A 24,078-nucleotide genomic window follows, 5' to 3' on the forward strand; every position below is an offset into this window, starting at 1 on the left:
GGTGAGTGGGTGGGTGGGTGAATGGACGGGTGGGTAGGTGGACAGGTGGGTGGACGGGTGGGTGGGTGATGGGTGAGCGAGTGGGCGGGTGAGTGGATGGGCGGGTGATGTGGCTGGGCGGGCAGGTGGGTGGACAGATGGCTGTGAAGCTTCATATCTTAAGTAGAGAGAGATGCAGATACGTATTGAAATCTCAGCCTTATGAATACAGGTATATATCGAATCCGGTTTCCGCTCCTTCAAACATTCTGTGTGCTGTCAGTATTGATTGAGCATTTCCCACACACACGTAGCATTCCCTGTGTGTCTGGCACTCTTCTCCACACTTCTTTAACTCATCTGGTCTTTGCAGCATCCACGAGGGAGGTGCTGCTATCCTCCCCCTTTACAGGTGAGGAGACTGAGGCCGAGGGATGGAGTGATCTGTTGGGGTTAGTGGCTGAGTGCAAATATGAACGCTGCCAGCAGCACCTCAGCCCTGTGCTGGCCTCAGGCCCCGGCTGCACTCTGCTGGGTCCACCCCACCACAGTGCACCCTCCATGCCGTCCGCTCCCAGCTCATTGTCCAGGAGTGGTGGTGCCCGAAAGCTGAGCCTGGGACAGGCCCCTGGGACCTCAGGGGTTGGGGGGCAGGAAACTGAGCATCACACTTTTGGCTTTAACAGCAAGACACTGCCTCTGCGTCCCACCTGCCCGTGAGGTGGAGAATTCCCTACACAGGATATGGGTTCAGATGCTGGGTAGGCAAAGAATGGCCAATGGCCACCGCACCTGTCCTGTCCGGAGAGGGCAGGATGCCTCCCCTGTGATGGGTTTTATCAAATTTCTCTTGAAATTCCTTTTTTTTTTTTTTTTTTCTTTCAGAGACAGGGTCTTGCTCTGTCCCCCAGGCTGCAGTGCAGGTGCGATCTTAGCTCACTGCAGTCTGGAATTCCTGGGCTCAAGCCGTCCTCTGGCCTCAGCCTTCGGAGTAGCTAGGACCACAGGTGCCACCACCACGCCCAGCCCGATTTCTCCAGTTTTGTGTGGTCTAGTTCTATTCCGCACTGCTCAGCACACAAAGGCTTTTGTGTCTGCTGAACCTTTGGAAGGCACAGGACATTTTTGTCCCTTTATAAACTCAAAGCATGATCCTATCTATGTTTAAAAAGCAGACGCGGACAGCGGCGGACATGAGGAAAGGCCAGAGGCAGCAGCCAGCCCATCTCAGGCCCGTCACCGTGGAAGCAGCGGCCGGAGGAGCCACAGAAAGCAAAACTCCCAAAGCCGCCCACGTACTTCGGGTCTTAGCTTGGATCTCCTGGAGACAGGCCCTGCGAAGGAGCTGGGCTGGGAGCAGGTTTATCAGGGCGTGATCTTAGGAGGCAGATGTAGGAGGTGAGGAAGGCAGGGTGTGTAGAGTGCAGCTGACCCAACCGGCCCGGCCGACCCACAGGACGCCCTGGGCTGAGACGCTGTCAGCACTGCCCCAGGCTGAGACCACCTTGGGAGGGGTGTAACCTTGTGCAGGGGGGCTCTCTGCAGCGGAGGGCAGTCCTGGGGAGGACACGGCTGAGGACACATGCAGTGACGTCCCAGCGTTCCCAGCAGTGGGGAGGGTCGGGGGGGCATCCAGTGCCCACGACACTCATGAACACAAAAACCAACCAGAGAAAACCCAGTCTCCAGCAAAGAGCCGAGTGCTGAGTGTGCAGCGTTCTCCGCCTGTCTCTCCCCCTTTCGCACCTCTATCCCAGGCAGGCCCTCCCTGGCCTTGCCACCATGCCGGACCACCGTGTGGACCCTGTGCTCACCCAGGCCTCACCTTTCAGCCCCCTAAGCTGGGCCCAAAGCAGCAGACTGTGTTATGGAGGGTGCTGTGGCTCACGGCCCCCACCCCCTGCTAGGCAGAGTTGCCGGGTAAAAGACAGGATAACCAATTAAATTAGAACGTCAGAGAAACACAGTGATTTTTCTTTTTTTCTTTTCTTTTTTTTTTTTTTTTGAGACGGAGTCTCACTCTGTCACCCAGGCTGGAGTGCAGTGGCGCAATCTCGGTTCACTGCAAGCTCCGCCTCCCGGGTTGACGCCATTCTCCTGCCTCAGCCTCCCAAGTAGCTGGGACTACAGGCACCCACCACCACGCCCAGCTAATTTTTTGTATTTTTACTAGAGACGGGGTTTCCCCATGTTAGCCAGGATGGTCTCGATTTCCTGACCTCGTGATCCGCCCACCTCGGCCTCCCAAAGTGCTGGGATTACAGGCGTGCACCACTGCACCTGGCCAAAACAGTGATTTTTCACATGAGTTCATCCCAAAAGGTGCATGAAACCAAAAAATTATCCATTGCCAGCAGGGGCTGCGGAGGAGGGAATGGAGAGTTATTGGTTAACAGTCACAGGGTTTCTTTTTGGGGCAATGAAAAAGACTCAGAAACAGATGGTGGCAGTGACGGCACAACAGTGTGACTGGAATTAAGGCCACTCCAGGCACGTTCACAACGGTTACAATGGCACATTTTATGCCATATATATTTTACAATTCTTAAAAAATAATCCCAAAAACTTCTGAATCTTACACTTTAAATGGGTAAATCGTGTATGTGAATTATACGTATCTCAACAACACTGCTGTTTAAGCCAATCAGAGCCCTTCCCTGGGACTTTGGAACCAGGTTGTGGAAGAAAGCTCACCTCTCTCCAACAGGGGGTGCTGTAGGGCACGTTTCCATATTTCACGCCGCCTGGGAAGAGGCTGTGCCTGGAAAGACACGGGACAGAGAGACAGAGGGACGCAGCAGCAAAAGCAGCTACGGATTCCTAACCATAGGCCAGGCACGGCAGCTCATGCCTGGAATCCCAGCATTTTGGGAGGCCGAGGCGGGCGAGATCACCTGGATCTCAGGAGTTCGAGACCAGCCTGGCCAACATGGTGAGACCTTGTCTCTACTAAAAATACAAAGATTAGCCAGGCGTGGTGGCACGTGCCTGTAGTCCCAGCTACTCAGGAGGCTGAGGCAGGAGAATTGCTTGAACCCAGGAGGTGGAGGTTGCAGTGAGCCGAGATCGCACCACTGCACTCCAGTCTGGTGACAGAGCGAGACTCCATCTCAAAACAAACAAACAAAAAACAAAACAAGTCCTAACCGCATGAAGCACGTTTGCACCCCCCTTCCAGCTGCTCCTGAGGCCCACCCACACCTGACCTCCTGAGGAGTTCTTTGTTCAGCCTTCCTCCAATTGGACAACCTCCAGGATCCTTCCAGTGTGGCCCTTTTTCTGCCCAAGTCAGTTGAAGTTAAAGTTGGGTGTCTGCCATTTGCAGCAACAGCAAAAAAGGAACATTCAGAGACACGGGTGTCTGGAAGCTCGTTCACCTGTGGGTTCTCCATAACCTGAGATAAATGCTGGAGTTCAGGGCAGCTCAGGAAATATTTGATGTATAAACAAAGAAAAGGACAGCTTGGTTCCTGACAGCTGTGGGTGCCAGACCCCTCAAGTCTGTCTCCTGACCTGAGCAGGCAGTTCGTGGCCTCAGCCCTGAGTGAGGGGCCGCCAGGAGCCTGGGGAGGGAGGATCAGGGCTCGAGGCCCAGGAGCTGGAGAACTGGGTCGCATCCCCCTTCTGTGGCTCCCTCAGCTCTGGTAGGTGATAGTGGCATTCCAGACAGCATTCTTCCAGTAAGATGTGGCCTGTGGCAGAAAACTCAGCTTACGCAGTGAGGGAATGCAATGAACCGTGCATCTGTGAAGTCCATGAGCAGCGTCAGCTTCAAGTATGGATGCATCCAGAGGCTACCGGTGTCCTCCGGTCTTTGTCTCTCTGTGTCTTTGCCCACCATCCTCCATGCGAGCACACAAAAACCCAAGCCTACACCTCCTGCCCCAAGACCTGAGGGAAGGAGGGAACTTTATTCCACTCACTGCCATCGAGGTCCTGGGCCATGCCCCAAGACTGGGCCAATCGTGGGGCAAAGAGGAACGGGGTGCTCCCACTGGCAACGCCTAAGGGACACACTCACACCTGGACCCAAGGATGGAGTTGAACCTCCCTAACTTCATGGGCGGAACACAGGAGAGCAGCGTTTCCCAGAGGAAAATGGGAAACTGTTGCCAAAGGCAGGGCATGGTACACAGTGCTACTGCCCACCACGTAGCCACCCGCGCCTCCTCTGTCCTGCTCAGAGAACCCCAGTTTTGTTCCAATAAGAGGCAGAAACCTCTTGGTCTCAGGAAAGATAGACTCCATCCCCCAGCCTTGTGATGAATTCTATTTGGGTTGAGACAGTCACAGTAAATCCATCCCCTTTGCCTGATTTCCACTTTCCCAGCTTCCTTCACCACAAGCAATGCCATGAGACACTCTTCTGGTCAATGAGATTTGAGAAGCCAGGTGGGAGCTCTGGCTGCTACACCACTGCTTACTTGCCTCTCTGCACAGGGTGCTGGAATGTGGACATGATGCCTGGAGCTGCAGCAGCCTTGTTGGGTCAATAAGACATCAAGTAGGAGAAACAAAAGCCAACACTGCTAGTAATATTCTATTTCCTGATTGTTACATTTGTAACATGTAACACACAACATTTTGTGAGAATTCAAGGAGCTGTGCATTTTTCTGTTAGTGTGTTATACCTCACCAAAACAGTTAGGTAAAAATCTAACACCCTGAGGATGGCAGAGCAAACCCCTGAAAACATGGGTGAACTGGTTAACCAGCCTCAAATACTGTAACTCGGAGCTTCTGATTAAGAGAATCAAAAGCCTTTGTTGCTTAATTACTAGGTTTTCTAATACTTGCAGCTGAATGCATTCTTGATTAACCCAAAGAATGACTGGAAGCTGGGTGGCAAAATACTAAGGTGCGCTCTTCAGGAAATCCCCACAGCATAAGGCTGACCATGAAGAGCAAAGTGCCCTCCCCCTTCCTGCTGACGGGTGAACCGCCCAGCACAAGGGCGCTCAGCCCTGAGAGCCATGCCTTCCCCATTCTCAGCTTCAGCAGGGAACTTGCCATTGCTGGACAGAAACTCCACTCCAGATGTCTCCCAGCCTTAGTCTTGTTCCAGAGATGCTGAGATTCAAAAGGCCCCCTGGGCAAGCACCCAGAAGGTGAGCTCAGATGTGGATGGGGATGCTGCCTGGGGACAGTAAACTAAGAGGCTCTTTCCTGGTGCCAGCATATCCAGCTTTCTCTCCTGGCAGACTCTTCCTCCCACAACCCCCTCCTTGTGAAAGCATAGCTGAGTTCTCTTTGAGAAAAAGAGTACAACACAGATTGGACACAGGCATTCTGACCACCCATACATACCAGCCAGTGACCCACAGTGTGCCTGAGGAGAAACAGGGGAGCCTAACTAGGAATCTGAACTGGATTAAATAACAGCACTATCACCATCATCATCAGCATCACCATCATTATCAGTACCATCATCACCATTGCCATCATCACCATCACCATCACCATCACCATCATCACCATCATCACCATCACCATCACCATCATCACCATCAGCATCACCATCACCATCATCACCATCAGCATCACCATCACCATCACCATCATCACCATCACCATCATCACCATCATCACCATCACAGTCACCATCATCATCATCACCATCACCATCATCACCATCATCATAAGCATCATCACCATCATCACCATCAGCATCACCATCATCACCATCATCATCACTATCATCACCATCACCATCATCACCATCACCACCATCACCATCACCATCATCACCATCATCATCACCACCACCATCACCATCATCACCATCACAGTCACCATCATCACCATCATCACCATCACCATCATCATCACCATCAGCATCACCATCATCACCATCATCACCACCATCACCATCACCACCATCACCATCACAGTCACCATCACCATCACCATCATCACCACCATCACCATCATCACCATCACAGTCACTATCATCACCATCATCACCATCACCATCATCATCATCACCATCAGCATCACCATCATCACCATCATCATCATCACCATCACCATCATCACCACCATCATCATCATCATCATCATCATCATCATCATCATCATCATCATCATCATCATCATCATCATCATCATCATCATCATCATCATCATCATCATCATCATCATCATCATCATCATCATCATCACCATCAGCATCACCATCATCACCATCACCATCATCATCATCACGATCACCATCATCATCACCATCACCATCATCATCATCACCATCACCATCATCACCACCATCACCATCATCATCATCACCATCACCATCATCATCACCATCATCACCATCACCATCATCACCATCAGCATCACCATCATCACCATCATCATCATCATCATCACCACCATCATCACCACCACCACCATCAGCATCACCATCACCATCATCACCATCATCACCGTCACCATCATCATCACCGTCACCATCACCATCAGCATCACCATCATCATCAGCACCATCACCACCGTCACCATCATCACCATCATCACCATCACCATCACCACCGTCACCATCATCATCACCATCATCACCACCATCACCATCATCATCACCATCATAATCATCTCCATCGCCATCATCACCAGTGTCACCATTATCCTGTGCTCTGGTTCCCAGTTGGGCTCAGCAGCAGCAGCCCCAGAGCAGGTCCTAGGGCTCCTGGAGAACCGCCTTCCTCTCCACTTCCTGTCTGCATCCCCTTTCCATGGCTGCCTCGTTTAGCCATGTTCTGGCACCACTAACTTCTCCCTTGCCCTTGCCGGCTTCTGGGTGGTGGTGGCTTCCCACAGTGCACATCCCTGGGTCCTCAGCAACCCTCATGGGCTCCCGTCCTGCCTGCCCCTGGAGAAGTCAGGCCTCATTAGCCCCCTCACAGCCTGTGCCTGTTTCTTGCGGAGACCCCCGCTGGCATGGGCTTAGTGAATACACACAGAACAGGCAGGCAGGCCCGGGGGCTTGCATCTCCAGGGAGCCCAGAGCAACAGCCCCTGCAGGTGCTCCCAGAGGCGGAGGACGACCCAACATCACCCGGACAGGAGGCAGGCTCTGTGTGTAGGAACACTCACAGAAGAGGCGCCGAGGCAGCCCAGTCCCCATGCAACTTGAGGGGGCCCAGGCCCCAGTGTGGACCTGAAAGTCTCGGGGGTTGGGGATGGTGAGTGTCCATGTTTAGGTGCAGGTTGGAGAGGAAGCAGGCTCTGTGTGTAGGAATACTCACAGAAGAGGCGCCAAGGCACCCCAGTCCCCATGCAACTTGAGGGGGCCCAGGCCCCAGTGTGGACCTGAATGTCTCAGGGGTTGGGGAGGGTGAGTGTCCATGTCTGGGTGCAGGTCGGGGAGGGACAGTGCAGGCCGTTCTGGGGATGGGCCAGGTAGCCCATAGGAAGAGCCTGCACACCTCGCTCTCAGAGGCAGGGCCCCGGGGCGGGAGCTGCCTTGCAGGGGAGGCCAGGGCAAGGGGCCCATCCCCCAGGGCCTCTCGGCCACCTGGAGTGCTTGCTGCTCAGTTTAATCCTTGTGTGCTCAGGAGAGCACTGACAGGAAATGAGTGTTCTGCCATGTGGGAGAGCTGCTCCCTCCCTGGAAGGGGGCACCCCTGTGTGCACAGAGCCTGAGCCCCTCCCTTCACTGATGGGAGCTTTCCCGGAGCTAATCCCAGAGGAGAGGCCCTGCCAGGCGTAATCTTGGATCAGATGCCAGGGAGTGAAGGATGGTGACACCCCCACACAGGCCTGATGTGCAGGGTGAAGGCAGACGGCAGCCCAGGGGTCTCTCCTCCCCTGCCAACCTCCGTTCTGTGCCCTGGCGGTGACTTACAGACCCTCACCGGACTGCCCTTCAGCTTCCTGTAAGATTTGGTCATGGAAAGCTGTGTGGGGAGCCTGGAGCCAAGGAGAGGGAGGTCGGAGGTCAAAGGTCAGAGGATTTATCCTTGACTCCAGAGGCTTTGAGCTGACCACAGCCCCTCCGGGTGGCCCGCTCCTCCCTCCCTCCCCTGGGGCCTCTGTGTCCTCATCGTCCCCTCAGCCTGGCCCACTTTTCTGGAAGTCTTCCCCAGGAAGGGCAGAATGGAAAGTGTGGTGAGGGGTCCAGGCACTGCAGCCTCCCTGGGTCTCTGCTGCCCGTCCCCCTCCTCCTCTTCCTCTCTCTTCATCTCTACTGGATGCTTTTCTCCAACCATTTCTGTTTCCCATTTCTTCTGTCTCTCACTCTCTTTTCTTTGTGTCTCTGTTTCTCTCTGTTCCCTGCATCGGCTTCCTGTGGCTGCCTGTGCCTGGGGACACCTGTGACCAGGAACTCCTGTGCCTGGGGACACCTGTGACCGGGACACCTGTGCCTGGGGACACCTGTGACCGGGAACACCTGTGCCTGGAGACACCTGTGACCGGGGACAGCTGTGACTGGGACACCTGTGACCAGGACACCTGTGCCTGGGGACACCTGTGACCATGGGTGCCTGTGACCAGGGACACCTATGCCTGGGGACACCTGTGACCGGAGACACCTGTGACCGGGGACACCTGTGCCTGGGGACACCTGTGACCTGGGACACCTGTGACCGGGGACACCTGTGACCAGGGACACCTGTGCCTGGAGACACCTGTGACCAGGGACACCTGTGACCGGGGACACCTGTGACCTGGGACGCCTGTGCCTGGAGACACCTGTGCCTGGGACACCTGTGCCTGGGGACATCTGTGACCAGGGACACCTGTGCCTGGGGACGCCTGTGACCTGGGACACCTGTGACTGGGGACACCTGTGCCTGGAGACACCTGTGACTGGGACACCTGTGCCTGGGTTACCTATGATCAGGAACACCCTGTGCCTGGGGTCACCTATTACCAGGAACACTGTGACCAGTGACATCCGTTCTGGGGACACCTGGACTCAGTCGTGAACAACCCCAGGCCAGCCGTGCAGGGAGGTCGGGCTTCCTCCATGGCACGGTGGAAGGAGAAAGCTGGGTGAGGACCAGGCCTCAAGGACTGAGGCCGGGATTGGAGCTTTGCCAGAGCCCGGAGCAGCTCCAGGTCCAGGCTCCTCCCTAAGAGCTGAAGGCCTTGAGCAACTGGCAATTCATTCTCACCTCGGGGTAATGGGATTACAAAAACAAAATCCTTCCATGTAGGGGCTGTCATCGTAGTAAATGAAATAAAAAGACAAGCAACCCAGTCAAATGTGGACAAAGGACTTGAATAAGCATTTCCCAAAGTAGATATACGAATCCCCATGAGCACATGGAGAGAGACTCAGACATCATGAGCCATAAAAGCAACGCAAACCCAAACCAGAGGGACAGTCTGCTCCACATCCACTTAGATGGCTATGTTTCTTTTTTCTTTTTTTTAAAGGAAAATGTTGGGGATGTAGAGAAATTGGAATTCTCACACATTGTTGGCAGGAATGTGAAATGGTGCAGTCACTGTGTTAAAACGCCTGGCGGCTCCTCAGAACGTTAAACGTAAAGTCACCATTTGACCCAGCAGTTCCACTCCTAGGCGTATGCCCAAGAGTGCACAGGAACGTTTATTCCAGCACTGTTCATAATAAGCGAATAGCAGAAGCAACCCACATGACCATCAACTGATGAGTGGGTTTCTAGCGGTGGATTCACACAGCAGACTATTAGTCAGCAGTAAAAAGGAATGATGGCCGGGCACAGTGGCTCGTGCCTGTAATCCCAACACTTCGGGAGGCTGAGGCAGGTGGATCGTCTGAGGTCAGGAGTTCGAGACCAGCCTGGCCAATGAGGAGAAACCCTGTCTCTATTAAAAATACAAAAAAAAAAAAATTAGCAGGACATGGTGGTGCAAACCTGTAGTCCCAGCTACTTGGGAGGCTAAGGCAGGAGAATCACTTGAACCCCAGAGGCAGAAGTTGCTGTGAGCCGAGATCACGCCACTGCACTCCAGCCTGGGTGACAAGAGCAAGACTTCATCTCCAAAAAAAAAAAGGAAGTAAGTACCGATATAGATGACAACATGGGTGAACTTAAACATCACAGCGAGTGAAAGAGGCAGGCACAGAAGACTGCACGCAGGTGTGTGAAATGTCCACAACCGGCAGATCCACAGAGAGATGCAGGTGAGCAGCCTGCGGCCAGGACCAGGGCTGGGGTGGGAGGAATAGGGGGAGGGACAGCTAGTGGGTCTGAAGTTTCTTTTAGGGATGATGAAAATGATTTAAAATTAGATGGTGGTGATGGTTACACAACTCGGTAAATATATTAAAAGTCACTGAACCGCACACTTCAATCCATAAGTGAACTTCAAGATTAAGTGAGTTATGCTTCTCAGACACATAGTCCAATGACTGCCATGTGCGTTGACTCCCTCACCCTTCCAGTCAAGACTGATTATGCACCTGCTGTATGTATACACTGTCCCAGACACAGGGGACCCAGCACTGAAGAATGGGACAGATGCCCCGCCCTCAGGAGTGCACAGCCCAGTGAGGAAAACATACAACAAACAAGAACATTTACAATATCCATGGCCAGGCATGGCGGCTCACGCCTGTAATCCCAGCACTTTGGGAGGCCGAGGTGGGAGGATCACTTGAGGTCAGGAATTCGAGACCAGCCTGACCAGCATGTTGAAACCCTGTCTCTAGTAAAAAAAAAAAAATACAAAAATTTAGCCAGGTGTGGTGGTGCACACTGTAATCCCAGCTACTCGGGAGGCTGAGGCAGGAGAATCGCTTGAACCTGGGAGGTGGAAGTTGCAGTGAGCCAAGATCATGCCACTGCACTCCAGCCTGGGTGACAAGAGTGAAACTCTGTCTGAAAAAAAAAAAATAGGCCGGGCGCGATGGCTCACGCCTATAATCCCAGCACTTTGGGAGGCTGAGGCGGGTGGATCACGAGGTCAGGAGATCGAGACCATCCTGGCTAACATGTTGAAACTCCGTCTCCACTAAAAATACAAAAAAATTAGCCGGGCATGGTGGCGGGCGCCCGTAATCCCAGCTACTTGGGAGGCTGAGGCAGGAGAATGGCGTGAACCTGGGAGGCGGAGCTTGCAGTGAGCCGAGATCGTGCCACTGCACTCCAGCCTGGGTGACAGAGTGAGACTCCATCTCAAAAATAAATAAATAAATAAAAATAAATAAGATAAAATATGTATAGTAGGTCTGGGGTGATTCATGCCATGGAGAAAAAGTAAGGGAGGGGGTGGGACATATGGGGCACAGGGCACCAGGGGGGCCAGGAAGGGTCCCCATGCACAGTTACGGCCAACTGACCTTCAGCAAAGGCGCCAAGGACACACGACGGGGAAAGGGGCATCCTCAATAGGTGGTGCTGGGAAAAGTGGAGGAGGATGAAAGGGCCTCATCCGACACCACCTACGAAAATCAACTCAACACGGATTAAAGATTCAAACCTAAGACCCGACACCATAAAACTCTTAGAAGAAAACGTAGGAGGAAAACTTCTTGAGGCTGGTCCGGGCAATGATTTTTTTAAAATATGGCCCCACAAGCACAGGCAACAGAAGCAAAAATAGACAGTGAGAGTGCAACAAACCAGAAAGCTTCCGCAAAGGAAACCAACAGAGTGAAAAGGCAACCCCCAGGGGGAGGCGGGGGTATTGGCAGGGAAAAGGCAGAACCCACGGGGAGGTGGGGGTATTTGCAGGGAAAAGGCAACCCCCATGGGGAGGTGGGGGTATTGGCAGGGAAAAGGCAACCCCCATGGGGAGGCGGGAGTATTTGCAGTGAAAAGGCAAAACCCCAGGGGGAGGCGGGGGTATTTGCAATCCATGTATATGATGAGGAGTTAATTTGCAAATTGTAGAAGGAATTCAACTCAATAACAAAAACAAACAAAAAAAATTTTAAAACGTGCAAAGGACCTGAATCTGCGTGTCTCGAAGGAAAACATGTAAGTGGCCGAAGTGTAGACGAAATAACGTCCAGCATCACTAATCATCAGGAAAATCAAATAAAAACCACAGGAGGTACCAACTGGCACCTATTGGGATGACTGTCATCAAAACGCAAAAGATAGCGAGTGTTGGCGAGGACATGGAGGAAAGGGGCCCGTTGCACTCTGTCCCTGGGAACGTCGTTGGCACAGCCACCATGGGAGACGGCAGGGAGGTTCCTCAAAAATGTGGAAATAGAGCTCCCACCTGATCCAGCAATCCCACTGCTGGGTGTATATCCAAAGAGTTGAAATTAGCGTGTAGGAGAGGCGTCTGTACCCTCGTGTTCATCGCAGCACTGTCCCAGCAGCCAGGACACGGAATCAACCCAAGTGTCCATCAACGGATGCATGAATGAAAATATGTGAGAAATATACACACACATGCATGCACACACACACAGGAGTGTTATTCCACAGGAGGGAAAGGGAAGGGTGGGGAAGGGAGGGGAGGAGAGGGGGGAGGGGAGGGAAGAAATACACACACATGCATACACACACACACACACACACACACGAGTGTTATCCCACAGGGAGGGAAAGGGAAGGGGAGGGGAAGGGAGGGAGGAGGGGAGGGAAGGGAGGAGGGGAGGGAAAGGAAGGGAAAGGGAGAAATATACACACATGCATATATACACACACACACACACAAGCGTTATTCCACAGAAGGGAAAAGGAAGGGGAGGGGAAGGGAGGGGAGGGAGGAGGGGAGGGAAAGGAAGGGAAGGGGAGAAATACACACACATGCATACACACACACACACACACACACACACACACACACGAGTGTTATTCCACAGGGAGGGAAAGGGAAGGGGAGGGGAAAGAAGGGGAGGGGAGGGAAGGGGAGGGGAGGGAAGGGGAGGGGAGGGAAGGGGAGGGGAGGGAAGGGGAGGGGAGGGAAGGGAAGAAATACACACACATGCGTACACACACACGTATACACACACATGCGTACACACACGTATACACACACATGCGTACACACACGCGTATACACACACATGCGTACACACACATACAGGAGTGTTATTCCACAGGAGGAAAAGGGAAGGGGGGGAGAGAGAGAGAGACAGAGAGAGAGAAAGGAGAGAGAGAGAAGGGAAGGGAAGGGAGGGCAGGGCAGGGCAGGGCAGGGCAAGCCCGCCATTTGTGAGGACACGATGAACCTGAAGGGCATTTGTGGTAAGTGAGATAAGCCAGGCACAGAAAGACAAACAGCACATGGCCTCACTCGAGTGACGTGTGAAAAAGCGGAACTCACAGAAGCAGAGTGAACAGTGGCTGTCAGGGCTGGAGGGGACCGGGAGTTGAGGGTCACAGGGAACAAAGGTGCAGTTATGAGATTAGCGGGTTCTAAGATGTAATGAACGTGGTGACTACAGCTGATAAGAATGTGTCCTTTATTTATTTATTTTGAGATAGGGCCTCCCTCTGTCGCCCAGGCTGGAGTGCACCGCAACCTCCGCCTCCCAGGCTCAAGTGATTCTCCAGCCTCAGCTTCCCAAGTAGCTGGGACCACAGGTGTGCACCACCACGTCCAGATAATTTTTTTATATTTGTAGAGACAGGGTCTCACTATGTTGCCCAGGCTGTGTGTCCTCTATTTAAAATTTAGTGTTCTCACCACAGAAAGAAGTAACCATGTAAGGTGATGGGTGTGTTAATTAGCCCAATTGTGGGACTCATTTCACAATGCCTACGTGTGTCAGGTTGTGATGCTGCATACCTTGAGTGCACACCGTCCTGAATTGTCAACTATACCTCAATAAAGCTGGAGAGAGAGAAAGAAAAGAAAAGGTATCCTGGGACGGTGACGTGGGTAACGGGCCCCAGGACACTCACAGAGAGAGGGAATGCAGGTGCAAAGGCCCCGGGGCAGTGACAAACAGGAAGCAGGAAGAAGGGCCAGGGTACGGGGATGGGGCCTGGCCGACCTCCATGCCCAGAGCCTTCCTTTCCCGAGTGGGAAGAGCCGGGAGGTTCCTGCGGAACAAACGCCTGGGTTGAGGTGGCGCAGAGCCCTGAGGGGGCTCAGGCGAGGGTCCAGGCCAGGTGGGCAGGCGGGGGCAGCACTCTGCAAGGGCAGGAGCCATCAGGAGAGCATCGGCTGTCCCTGGGGAAGGCCCCTCATGGAAGGAGTGAGCCGGTAACAGGGAGTTGGGGGGCGGATTTGGGGGTCAAGCACAGGCTCCTGAGCGGCCAGGCGGTGAGCGTCTGCACTGCCCTGCAGACCTCAGGCATCACTGGCATCTTGAAGCAGAAATGACATAATCAAGTTTTGCTTTAGGAAGAAATATCTCTATCCCCAAAGCCAGCAAACATATGAAGAGATGCTCGAAATCATCAGTCATCAGAGAAATGCAAATTAAAGCCACCACGATGATCCCGTCCCACCATCTAGCTGCCAAGATGAGAGGCCGGATCTGCCAAGTCCTGGCAGGGGTTTGGGAGCATCCCCTGGAGGGACGGAACCCTCGTCCACTGCCCCCTGCCCGAGGAAGGGGTGAGGCGGCCCTTAGGGAGAGCAGCTGGAGCCGGGGAAGGGCTGGGAAGTCCTCACCCAGGTCCATGGGGGCAGGTCCAAGGCTGCGCACCGAGGCGCCATCATGGACCCCTTCTCTGCCGGCCGCCTGCAGTTCTGGGGCTCAAGCACAGGGTGCCCTGCCAGGGAAGGTGCGGCAGGAGATCCAGCCCCTCCACCAAAGCCTGCCTGGAGAGAGAGGAGGGCCTGTTCCTCATCTTTCTTCTGATTTACACAAAGGCACGATGTGGGCCGGCAGGAGACCTGAACCCGGGGTCCCTTCCTGGAAAGTGCGTGGGCAGCTCGTGAACCCGGTGTCCCCTCCTGGAGAGGACGTGGGCAGCTCGTGGACCCGGGTCCCTTCCTGGAGAGGACGTGGGCAGCTCGTGAACCCGGTGTCCCCTCCTGGAGAGGGCGTGGGCAGCTCGTGAACCCGGTGTCCCCTCCTGGAGAGGACGTGGGCAGCTCGTGAACCCGGTGTCCCCTCCTGGAGAGGACGTGGGCAGCTCGTGAACCCGGGGTCCCTTCCTGGAGAGGGCGTGGGCAGCTCGTGAACCCGGTGTCCCCTCCTGGAGAGCGCGTGGGCAGTTCGTGGACCCGGGTCCCTTCCTGGAGAGGACGTGGGCAGCTCGTGGACCCGGGTCCCTTCCTGGAGACGACGTGGGCAGCTCGTGGACCCGGGTCCCCTCCTGGAGAGGGCGTGGGCAGTTCGTGGACCCGGGTCCCTTCCTGGAGAGGACGTGGGCAGCTCATGAACCCGGGGTCCCTTCCTGGAGAGGGCGTGGGCAGCTCGTGAACCCGGTGTCCCCTCCTGGAGAGGACGTGGGCAGCTCGTGAACCCGGGGTCCCTTCCTGGAGAGGACGTGGGCAGTTCGTGGACCCGGGTCCCTTCCTGGAGAGGACGTGGGCAGCTCGTGGACCCGGGGTCCCTTCCTGGAGAGGACGTGGGCAGCTCGTGAACCCGGGGTCCCTTCCTGGAGAGGACGTGGGCAGCTCGTGGACCCGGGTCCCTTCCTGGAGAGGACGTGGGCAGCTCGTGGACCCGGGTCCCTTCCTGGAGACGACGTGGGCAGCTCGTGAACCCGGGGTCCCTTCCTGGAGAGGACGTGGGCAGCTCGTGAACCCGGGGTCCCCTCCTGGAGAGGACGTGGGCAGCTCGTGAACCCGGGGTCCCTTCCTGGAGAGGACGTGGGCAGCTCGTGAACCCGGGGTCCCTTCCTGGAGAGGACGTGGGCAGCTCGTGGACCCGGGTCCCTTCCTGGAGAGGACGTGGGCAGCTCGTGGACCCGGGTCCCTTCCTGGAGACGACGTGGGCAGCTCGTGGACCCGGGTCCCCTCCTGGAGAGGGCGTGGGCAGTTCGTGGACCTGGGTCCCTTCCTGGAGAGGACGTGGGCAGCTCGTGAACCCGGTGTCCCCTCCTGGAGAGGACGTGGGCAGCTCGTGAACCCGGGGTCCCTTCCTGGAAAGGGCGTGGGCAGCTCATGAACCCGGTGTCCCCTCCTGGAGAGGACGTGGGCAGCTCGTGAACCCGGTGTCCCCTCCTGGAGAGGGCGTGGGCAGCTCGTGAACCCGGTGTCCCCTCCTGGAGAGGACGTGGGCAGCTCGTGGACCCGGGTCCCTTCCTGGAGAGGACGTGGGCAGCTCGTGGACCCGGGTCCCTTCCTGGAGAGGACGTGGGCAGCTCGTGGTGGACGTGCACTGGTTCCGTCAGGGCTGGCATCATTTGCTGCAGGAACAAACAGCCCCAAAACGGAGCCACTCGCAGCCACACAGGCTCACTGCTCACCCACGTTAGGATTTGCGGGGCTCTGGTCCACTTCATCCCCTGCCGCCAGGCCCCAGGCCTGGGCGGCCTCCCTCTCACCGCGCCTGGGTGGGTTTGCCCGTCCTCAGGGCTGTGGCCTGGCTGCGCTCCTGGAAGCCGGGGCCCCGTGTATCTCCCTGATTCCCCGGTGGGCGTCCAGCAGAGGCCGGTCAGGGCAAGAATGCCCGACCCTCAGGGTCCTCCTCAGAGTCGCTGCGGGATCACTTAGGCGCCTCCGGAAACAACACTGTCTTTGCACTGGAATTTTCAAAACAAGACTGCCCTTCCCCTCCCTCCGCGGTGCCCTTCCCCTCCCTCCGCGGTGACCCCGCCCCCTCCTCCGCGGTGACCCCGCCCCCTCCTCCGCGGTGACCCCGCCCCTTCCTCCGCGGTGACCCCGCCCCTTCCTCCGCGGTGACCCCGCCCCCTCCTCCGCGGTGACCCCCGCCCCCTCCTCCGCGGTGACCCCACCCCTTCCTCCGCGGTGACCCCGCCCCCTCCTCCGCGGTGACCCCCGCCCCCTCCTCCGCGGTGACCCCACCCCTTCCTCCGCGGTGACCCCGCCCCCTCCTCCGCGGTGACCCCGCCCCTTCCTCCGCGGTGACCCCGCACCCCCCGCGGTGCCCCTCCCCCTCCCTCCGCGGTGACCCCGCCCCTTCCTCCGCGGTGACCCCGCCCCCCTCCTCCGCGGTGACCCCGCCCCTTCCTCCGCGGTGACCCGCCCCCCCTCCGCGGTGACCCCACCCCTTCCTCCGCGGTGACCCCGCCCCCTCCTCCGCGGTGACCCCACCCCTTCCTCCGCGGTGACCCCGCCCCCCCTCCGCGGTGACCCCGCCCCTTCCTCCGCGGTGACCCCGCCCCCTCCTCCGCGGTGACCCCACCCCTTCCTCCGCGGTGACCCCGCCCCCTTCCTCCGCGGTGACCCCCCCGCCCCCTCTCTCCCCGGTGAACCCTCCCCCTCCCTCCGCGGTGAACCCTCCCCCCCCCGCGGTGAACCCTCCCCCTCCCTCCGCGGTGCCCCTCCCCCTCCCTCCGCGGTGACCCCGCCCCCTCCCTCCGCGGTGACCCCGCCCCCCTCCTCCGCGGTGACCCCGCCCCTTCCTCCGCGGTAACCCCTTAGAAGCTCTAAATGGCGCTGATGTGTGTTCTTAGGAATATGTTCTCAACCTTCAAAGCTCAAAAGGCTCACGTGATGGTGTCTAAGCAACGTGTGCGCATCCGTGAGGACGTGGTATCTGCATCCGGGTGGCCGGCGTGTCCCTCTAGAAACGAACAGGCCCCTCCCGTCCTCCATGGCGATGTGGCCCAGGCACACCCTCATCAGCACTGCAGGCCCCGGCATCTGAGCAGCCATCCCTGCAGGAAGCCCCTGAGGCTTGGGGTGGCCATTGCCGCCACATGGTCCTGCCAGCCTCACTGCAGGTCTCCTGCCTGCGGCTTTGGCGTGTCCACCACACTCAGCTACCGTGCAGGTCTCTTCAGGCCACCACAACAAACGACACAGGCCAGCGGCTCAAACCACACGCACCCGTCGCCCACCCCGGAGGCTGGGGCACCCGTCGCCCACCCCGGAGGCTGGAAGTCTCCACCCTGGGGCCGGCAGGGCAGGTTCATCCTGTGCCTCCCTCCTTGGCCGGCAGTCGGTGTCTCCTCTGTGCGTTCACCTGGTGGCCCCCTGTGCCTGTCTGCATCCTTACCTCTTCCTTGTCCTTCACGGGCTGGTCATCACGAGCCAGTTATCACCAGCCAGTTATCACGGCCGGTCATCACGGGCGGTCATCACGGGTGGTCATCACGAGCCAGTTATCACCAGCCAGTTATCACGGGCCGGTCATCACGGGCGGTCATCACGGGTGGTCATCACGAGCCAGTTATCACGGGCCAGTCATCATGGGCCGGTCATCACGAGCCAGTTATCACCAGCCAGTTATCACAGGCCGGTCATCACGGGCGGTCGTCACTCTCAAAGCCGCTCTCCGGGGCCTTTTCCTCCCTGATCGCCTCTTCGTATTGTGTCACCCATGGGACTGGATCAGGGTCCACCCCAACAACCTCGCTTTACCTTGACACCCTCATTAAAGACCCCTTTATGCAGTCACATCCTGAGGTCGTGGGGGTGGGACTTCAGCATGTGGATTTGTGGGGGACACAGCCCAGCCATCACAGCTCCCGAGCCCACATCTCCTCGGAGCCCCTGGCGGCCCCCCAGGAGTCCCCTCACCCACGTGCTCAGAACTGAACTGGGGACTTCTGGTCCATGTCCAGCAGAACCTGACTCCATCGCGGTCTCCAATGCCCATGCCGGACACCCCACGGCCCTTGTCCTGTGATCCCGAACCTCACGGCTGCCGCCCCCCTCACGGACCGTGCAGCCTCTGACCCCACAAGTCTTCCTGAAGAGGTCCTCAGACTCGCAGCTATGCAGACCAGGCTGTCCCCGCACCCTGCGCCCTGGCAGGAGCCCCCAGAGGCCAGGACGGCTGGAGTCCCCCCAGCTTCCATCACTGTCCAGTTCTCCCCAGCCTGCCCTCTCCTTCCTCAGACACATTCACCCCATGACACCTGGCCTGTTGGAAACAACCCAGCCCTGAGCTGCCCTCAGTGCTTCCGGCCCCTCATGGGATGCAGCTTCCCCACCAGCCCCCAGGCTGGGCTGCACCCCTCCTACCACCGGCCCCTAGGCTGAGCTACACCCCTCCCAACGCTGACCCGGCCGCACCTTCCTCCTCCCTCCAGGTGGCTCCCGGCTCCACTGGCCTCCCCAGCTCTGGGCCTCTCTGCAGGGCCCCCTCACCCCGAGTGCCTCCTCCAGGGGAAGCCCTGGAACGCACAGATCAGATCGGCTCCTACCCCTGAGCTTCCCTCCCCAGCCCTGCTGCAGCTGCTGCGGTTTGCTTGGGTGGGGCCTGTGCCCCGGGTCAGCGTCCACCCCCTGCACGCCGCAGAGGTTCTCCAAGTCCCTGCAGAACCAAGGGCCAATTTGCAGCCTGACCACACTGCAGCTGTCACACAGCCTGGTGGAGCAGTGACGTTTGGGCTGATTGTGGTGGCTCCTCCCAGGTTGGGAGCCTCAAAGTGCCCTCCCATCCCCCACCCCTCCCCCACCACAGCTGAGGCACTAGGAGGTCCTCCCCAATCATGATCACCAAGATGCATCCCCAACTGTCCTCTCACCCCACCTGCATCTCTCTCCCCTGCCTCCTCAGTGGGCTAGCCTGGGCTCCTCCCAGGATCAGTGGGCTAGCCTGGGTGTGTCCTCTTGGGATCAGTGGGCTAGCCTGGGTGTGTCCTCTTGGGATCAGTGGGCTAGCCTGGGTGTGTCCTTTTGGGGCCAGTGGACTAGCCTGGGCGCATCCTCCTGGGATCAGTGTCTGGAGTTGGGCTCGTGATAGGTTCACAATCACTTCCATCCCTTCTGTGAAGCACCACAGCTGGCCAGACCCTGAGGTAGGGGTGAGAGAGGCCGAGGTGGGGGTGAGAGAGGCCGCCACCCCCAGCACTCTCCTGCCCCACAGCCTGAGGATCTGCCTGGGCCGTGCACCTCGGGGGCCCTGGGCTCCATCCACTACATGTGGTGCTCAGCCGGGGGCTGATTCTTGAGCTCTGGCCCTGGGGATTCCCCTTCTGGATACACCTTTTCCTCTTTCCTGACTGCACAACCCCACACAAGTCAGGGCATTCTGAATTGTGACAGAAAAGGCAACAAAAGTGGTTGAAGCCAAGGGAGAAATTAGTGACTCACATAACCAGGACGTCCTGGAGTGGGTGGCTTCAGGTCTAGCTGGATCCAGGGGCTCAAAGGACGTCATGGGGGCCTTGCTTCTGTCTCCCTCTCACCTTCACTCTTGGAGTCAGCTCCACTCTCAGACCAGCTCACCCTTCCCGCACGATGCCCACAGGGGCCTGGTTTCTATCCTCCCAGGAAACATTCTCCCCAGGAGCCTCCAGGAGGAACCTCCTGGCCCACACCTTGATCTGGGCCTCATGAGCACCGTCCAGAGGCCACCCCCCTCGAGGTATCCCACGCACCAGGCCGCCCCCCTCGAGGTATCCCACGCACCAGGCCGCCCCCCTCGAGGTATCCCACGCACCAGGCCGCCCCCCTCGCGGTATCCCACACACCAGGTTCTCTGCTGGGAACCGTTTTCTTCACGCCACTCATGTGAGCAGCTCCCTGTGCACCAGGTGATGTTCCAGCCGCGGGGGTCAGCAGTGAAGGGACAGTGTCCCCGGGGCTCACGGTGTAGTGCAGGCAGCACTACACCAGTGAGAGCCACCATCGGTCTTGTGGGCACCAGCGTGGGGCAAGGTGACCTGATGCCACCCTGAGGAGCCCTGCCATGCCCCTCCGAGAAGGCATGAGTGGAAGCTGCCAGCAAGGAGAGAACACAGGCAGAGGCCCCGAGGCAGAAGCCGCTCTGAGGCGGGGATGCAGGGTGGGCAGGGGTGGAGAGAGTGCCCAGAGTTGGTGGGGGGGGGGGTGTCCCAGGACTCAGGCCGCACTGGGAGTTGGCATGTGCTTCTGAGGATGCCCGTCTATCTGTGCAGGCCACGGGGCACCATCCAGCCCGGCAGGAGCAATGCTCTCAGAAGGGAACCTGCGTTGTATGACTCACAACCTCCCAGACCTGCCTTAGGAATGAAATTCAGACCTCCAAACTGACGAGGCCACAGGAGGCTGGAGTGGGCCAGAGTGGACTGTAGGAGGCAGGAGTGAGCCGCAGGGGGCAAGAGTGGGCCGCAGGAGGCCGGAGTGGACCACAGGAGGCTGGAGTGGGCCAGAGTGGGCCGCAGGAGGCCGGAGTGGACCCTTCCTTGTGTCGCCTGCACGGCGGGCTGCTCTTCTCACTTACGCTCCTGATGCAGGGATTGCAGCCGCCTGTCGCTGGAACACCATCTCCCTTCCTGCAGCTGCCGTAATGAACCACCACACACTGGGCTGTTTAAAACCACACACTTACCTTCTCATAGCCTGAAGTCCCAGAGGGGCTCCTGGGGCTGACGTGGAGGTGTGGGCAGGCCGGGTTCCTCTGCAGGCTGTGGGAGGGTCCCACCCTTGAATCTTCCAGCGTCCGGAGGGTGCCGAGCCTCCCACAAGGACGCTTGTGAACACATCCAGGGCCGCCTGGACCATGCAGGGCTCCGTCACCATCTCAAGATCTTCAGCTCAACCATATCCACCAAGTCTCCTCACCACGGAAGGTGCTACATCCCAGGCTCCTGGGACCGGGCATGGAGCTCCCGGAGCCCAAGGCTGGTCCCCACGGCCTCAGCATCCTCCCTCAATGCCCTGAACAGGCTGGTGAGGGTTCAGGCCTGCACCTCCGGCTGTGGCTCTCAGCTCTGCCTCACTTCCCAAACAGCCAGGAACAAGTCCTGTTGGAAACACTCCCCTACTGCCCTCCAAGTGAGCCCCCATGCTGGTCAGGTACAGGCCACCCCTGCCTCTCCCTGGGCCCTGTAGCAGCCTCCTTGGCCCCTCAGCACTTCTACTCTTGGCCCCTGGCCCACGGTCTACAGTGCTGTGCAGGAACCCTCCTAACTACAAGTCAGATGTCGGCACTCTCGCCCCAAACTCAGACTGGAGAAATGGGGAGGAAAGGGCTCCAAGGGCCGTCCTGGGAGGATGTGTGGGCTGCACACCATGACGCTGGGAAGTGCATGGGGGGAATAGGGAGGTGGGGAGCTCAGCTTGGCCCCTCGCCTCACCCCTGACCTTGCCAGAGGATTGAGCTCTGCAGATGCAGCCCCCCCAGGGTCGCAGGTGGCCCTCACAGCCCACCCCTCCAGGGTCACGGGCGGCCTCACAGAGCCTCTGGGAGAGCCACAGGGATGCCTGGGCTGCCGCGGCACCACCACCTCACGCACCCCAGAACACACGCCCGTATCTTGGTGCGCTCCAAAGCTCACACTTGCTGAAAAAATAAGGTTCCGAGTGTGGCGGCAGGGGGCCACCTTCCAGACCTTTCTCCGCACTTTCGGACACTCCCAGGGACCCTCGGGAAAGGCATAGCACCGTCCCACGGGGCTCCTCCCGCTCACACGAGCGGCTGCACCCCTCCTGCCGTATGGCCTCTTCCCTCCGCGACGTCACCTCCAGAGCAACCTCGTGCCTTAGCCGCAGCAGCGTTTGCGCTCAAGGATGCCGCCGCAGCGAGCCTTTTCCGTAACAAAGGCCACGGGGACTGTTTCTAATGTTCTATCGCAGATGGGGCTCTGGGGCAGCTGCTCTCCTCCAGGGTTTCTAATGAAACTCCCGGCTCTCAGCCGGGACTGTCCCCTGTGTCCTCCAGGAAAGACACTGGCTTCAGGGCCCGTTCCCACCGGAGCTGCTGCATCCGACACGCTGGTCGGCTTCTGTGGGTTAAGTTTGGGTTTGTGGGATCTTCGAAGGACTGATTATGCATTCAGGAAAGAGAAACTTCCAGACTGTCCACGAGGCCCCAGGCCCCTGTCATTTCCTCCTGGCAGCACCCCAACCCTGGGGCACGGTGCATGAGCGGGCCGGCCGTCCACACCCTGTGTGCCCCAGGCTTCCCTGCAGCTGGGCTTCCAGGTGGCCCTGCCAACTGGAAGGGAAGCTGTTCGGCCTCCACACCAGTGAGGCTGCACCCCTAGGGACCCAGCGGCCCCCTCCCATCAGCAGCCCTGGCCCCTGTGCACTGTGGGCCTCCCTGAGGCTGTCCTGCTGGGCTCTCATCTGTGTGGGGTAGAAGCTCCCCTTCTTGGGAGCACCCTGTGGTCGTTTCCCAGGCTCCATAGCAAAGTGCAGTGGAAGGCTGGGTGCAGTGGCTCACGCCTGTAATCCTAACAATTTGAGAGGCCGAGGCGGGTGGATCACTTGACATCAGGAGTTCAAGACCAGCCTGACCAACATGGTGAAACCCTGTCTCTACTAAAAATACAAAAATTAACCAGGTATAGTGGTGAGCACCTGTAAACCCAGCTACTTGGGAGGCTGAGGCAGGAGAATCGCTTGAACCCAGGAGGCAGAGATGGTGGTGAGCTGAGATCGCGACACTGCACTCCAGCCTGAGCAACAGAGTAAGACGCCGTCAAAAAGAAAAAAAAAGTACAGCTTAAAGCACAGAAATGTCTTCCCTTGAGATTTAGAGACCTGATGTCCAGAACCAGTGTTATTGGAGCCACGCTGCCTCAGGAGGCTCCAGGGGAGGACCCGTGTCTCTTCCTGTTCCTGGTGGTGTTGGCCTTCCCGCCTGTGTGGTTGCGTCGCTGCAGCCTCTGCTCCCGTCCCCACACACCGTCTCCCCTAGGCCTGTGTGTCTTTTCACAAGGGGGCCAGTGTTTGGATGTAGAGACCAGCCAAATCTGGGAACTTCATTTTAACATTTGCAATTACATCTGCAAAGACCCAATTTCCAAATAGTGTTACATTCTGGGGTTCTGGGGGTTGGGACTCCAGTGAGTGATACTGAGGACACACGGTAACCCATAACACAGCCTCCTCACTTCCTTCACCTCCAGCACAACTGTGTTAGTCAGGGGTCTCCAGAGAGACAGAGCCAACATGACACAGAGAGAGAAGTGAGCAGGGTCTGTTAGGGGAACCAGATGATGGAGGCTGGGAAGTCCCACAACAGGCTGTCTGCAGGCTGGACAACACCGGATGCCGGTAGTGTGGCTCAGTCCACGTCAGAAGGCATCAGAACCCGGGAAGCTGATGGCGCGACTCAGCCCGAGGCCACAGGCGTGAGACCCGGGGCTGCCAGTGCGAGTCCTAGAGCCCAAAGGCTGGGGCGCCTGCAGTTCTGTCTGAGGGCAGGAGAGGAAGCGTGCATCCCAGCTGCCGTGGGGAGAG

The 24,078-nt window shown here is 57.7% G+C and overlaps 1 protein-coding gene and 1 long non-coding RNA gene across 2 annotated transcripts, besides 6 other annotated features; one reads left to right on the plus strand and one right to left on the minus strand.

Annotated features, from left to right (window-relative positions):
* The first annotated feature begins 2,686 nt into the window (after window positions 1-2,686).
* Window positions 2,687-9,177, plus strand: LOC124903060 (uncharacterized). Its single transcript, XR_007063546.1, has 2 exons — window positions 2,687-5,087; window positions 8,297-9,177. It is a non-coding gene; the product is annotated as an uncharacterized LOC124903060 (long non-coding RNA).
* Window positions 7,370-7,934: an enhancer, noted in NCBI's record as "H3K4me1 hESC enhancer chr12:133042035-133042599 (GRCh37/hg19 assembly coordinates)". NCBI's record gives its function as "activates a minimal SCP1, AML or CMV promoter by ChIP-STARR-seq in primed H9 embryonic stem cells {active_cell/tissue: H9 hESC(primed)}" and the evidence as "EXISTENCE:reporter gene assay evidence [ECO:0000049][PMID:30033119]".
* Window positions 7,655-7,774: an enhancer, noted in NCBI's record as "active region_7377". NCBI's record gives its function as "activates an Ori minimal core promoter by ATAC-STARR-seq in GM12878 lymphoblastoid cells {active_cell/tissue: GM12878}" and the evidence as "EXISTENCE:reporter gene assay evidence [ECO:0000049][PMID:35858748]".
* Window positions 11,240-11,289: an enhancer, noted in NCBI's record as "active region_7378". NCBI's record gives its function as "activates an Ori minimal core promoter by ATAC-STARR-seq in GM12878 lymphoblastoid cells {active_cell/tissue: GM12878}" and the evidence as "EXISTENCE:reporter gene assay evidence [ECO:0000049][PMID:35858748]".
* MUC8 (mucin 8) lies at window positions 13,317-16,508 on the minus strand. The gene is given in 8 exon segments (XM_047429967.1): window positions 13,317-14,803; window positions 14,805-15,047; window positions 15,049-15,087; window positions 15,089-15,127; window positions 15,129-15,167; window positions 15,169-15,330; window positions 15,332-15,424; window positions 15,861-16,508. Coding segments are annotated over 8 exon segments (1,167 nt in total). The 5' UTR covers window positions 16,278-16,508; the 3' UTR covers window positions 13,317-14,668.
* Window positions 21,588-22,089: an enhancer, noted in NCBI's record as "H3K4me1 hESC enhancer chr12:133056253-133056754 (GRCh37/hg19 assembly coordinates)". NCBI's record gives its function as "activates a minimal SCP1, AML or CMV promoter by ChIP-STARR-seq in primed H9 embryonic stem cells {active_cell/tissue: H9 hESC(primed)}" and the evidence as "EXISTENCE:reporter gene assay evidence [ECO:0000049][PMID:30033119]".
* Window positions 22,090-22,589: an enhancer, noted in NCBI's record as "H3K4me1 hESC enhancer chr12:133056755-133057254 (GRCh37/hg19 assembly coordinates)". NCBI's record gives its function as "activates a minimal SCP1, AML or CMV promoter by ChIP-STARR-seq in primed H9 embryonic stem cells {active_cell/tissue: H9 hESC(primed)}" and the evidence as "EXISTENCE:reporter gene assay evidence [ECO:0000049][PMID:30033119]".
* Window positions 23,809-23,938: an enhancer, noted in NCBI's record as "active region_7379". NCBI's record gives its function as "activates an Ori minimal core promoter by ATAC-STARR-seq in GM12878 lymphoblastoid cells {active_cell/tissue: GM12878}" and the evidence as "EXISTENCE:reporter gene assay evidence [ECO:0000049][PMID:35858748]".

The sequence above is a fragment of the Homo sapiens genome, chromosome 12 (assembly GCF_000001405.40).
Source record: "Homo sapiens chromosome 12, GRCh38.p14 Primary Assembly".
In the NCBI taxonomy this organism is placed as follows: Eukaryota; Metazoa; Chordata; class Mammalia; order Primates; family Hominidae; genus Homo; species Homo sapiens.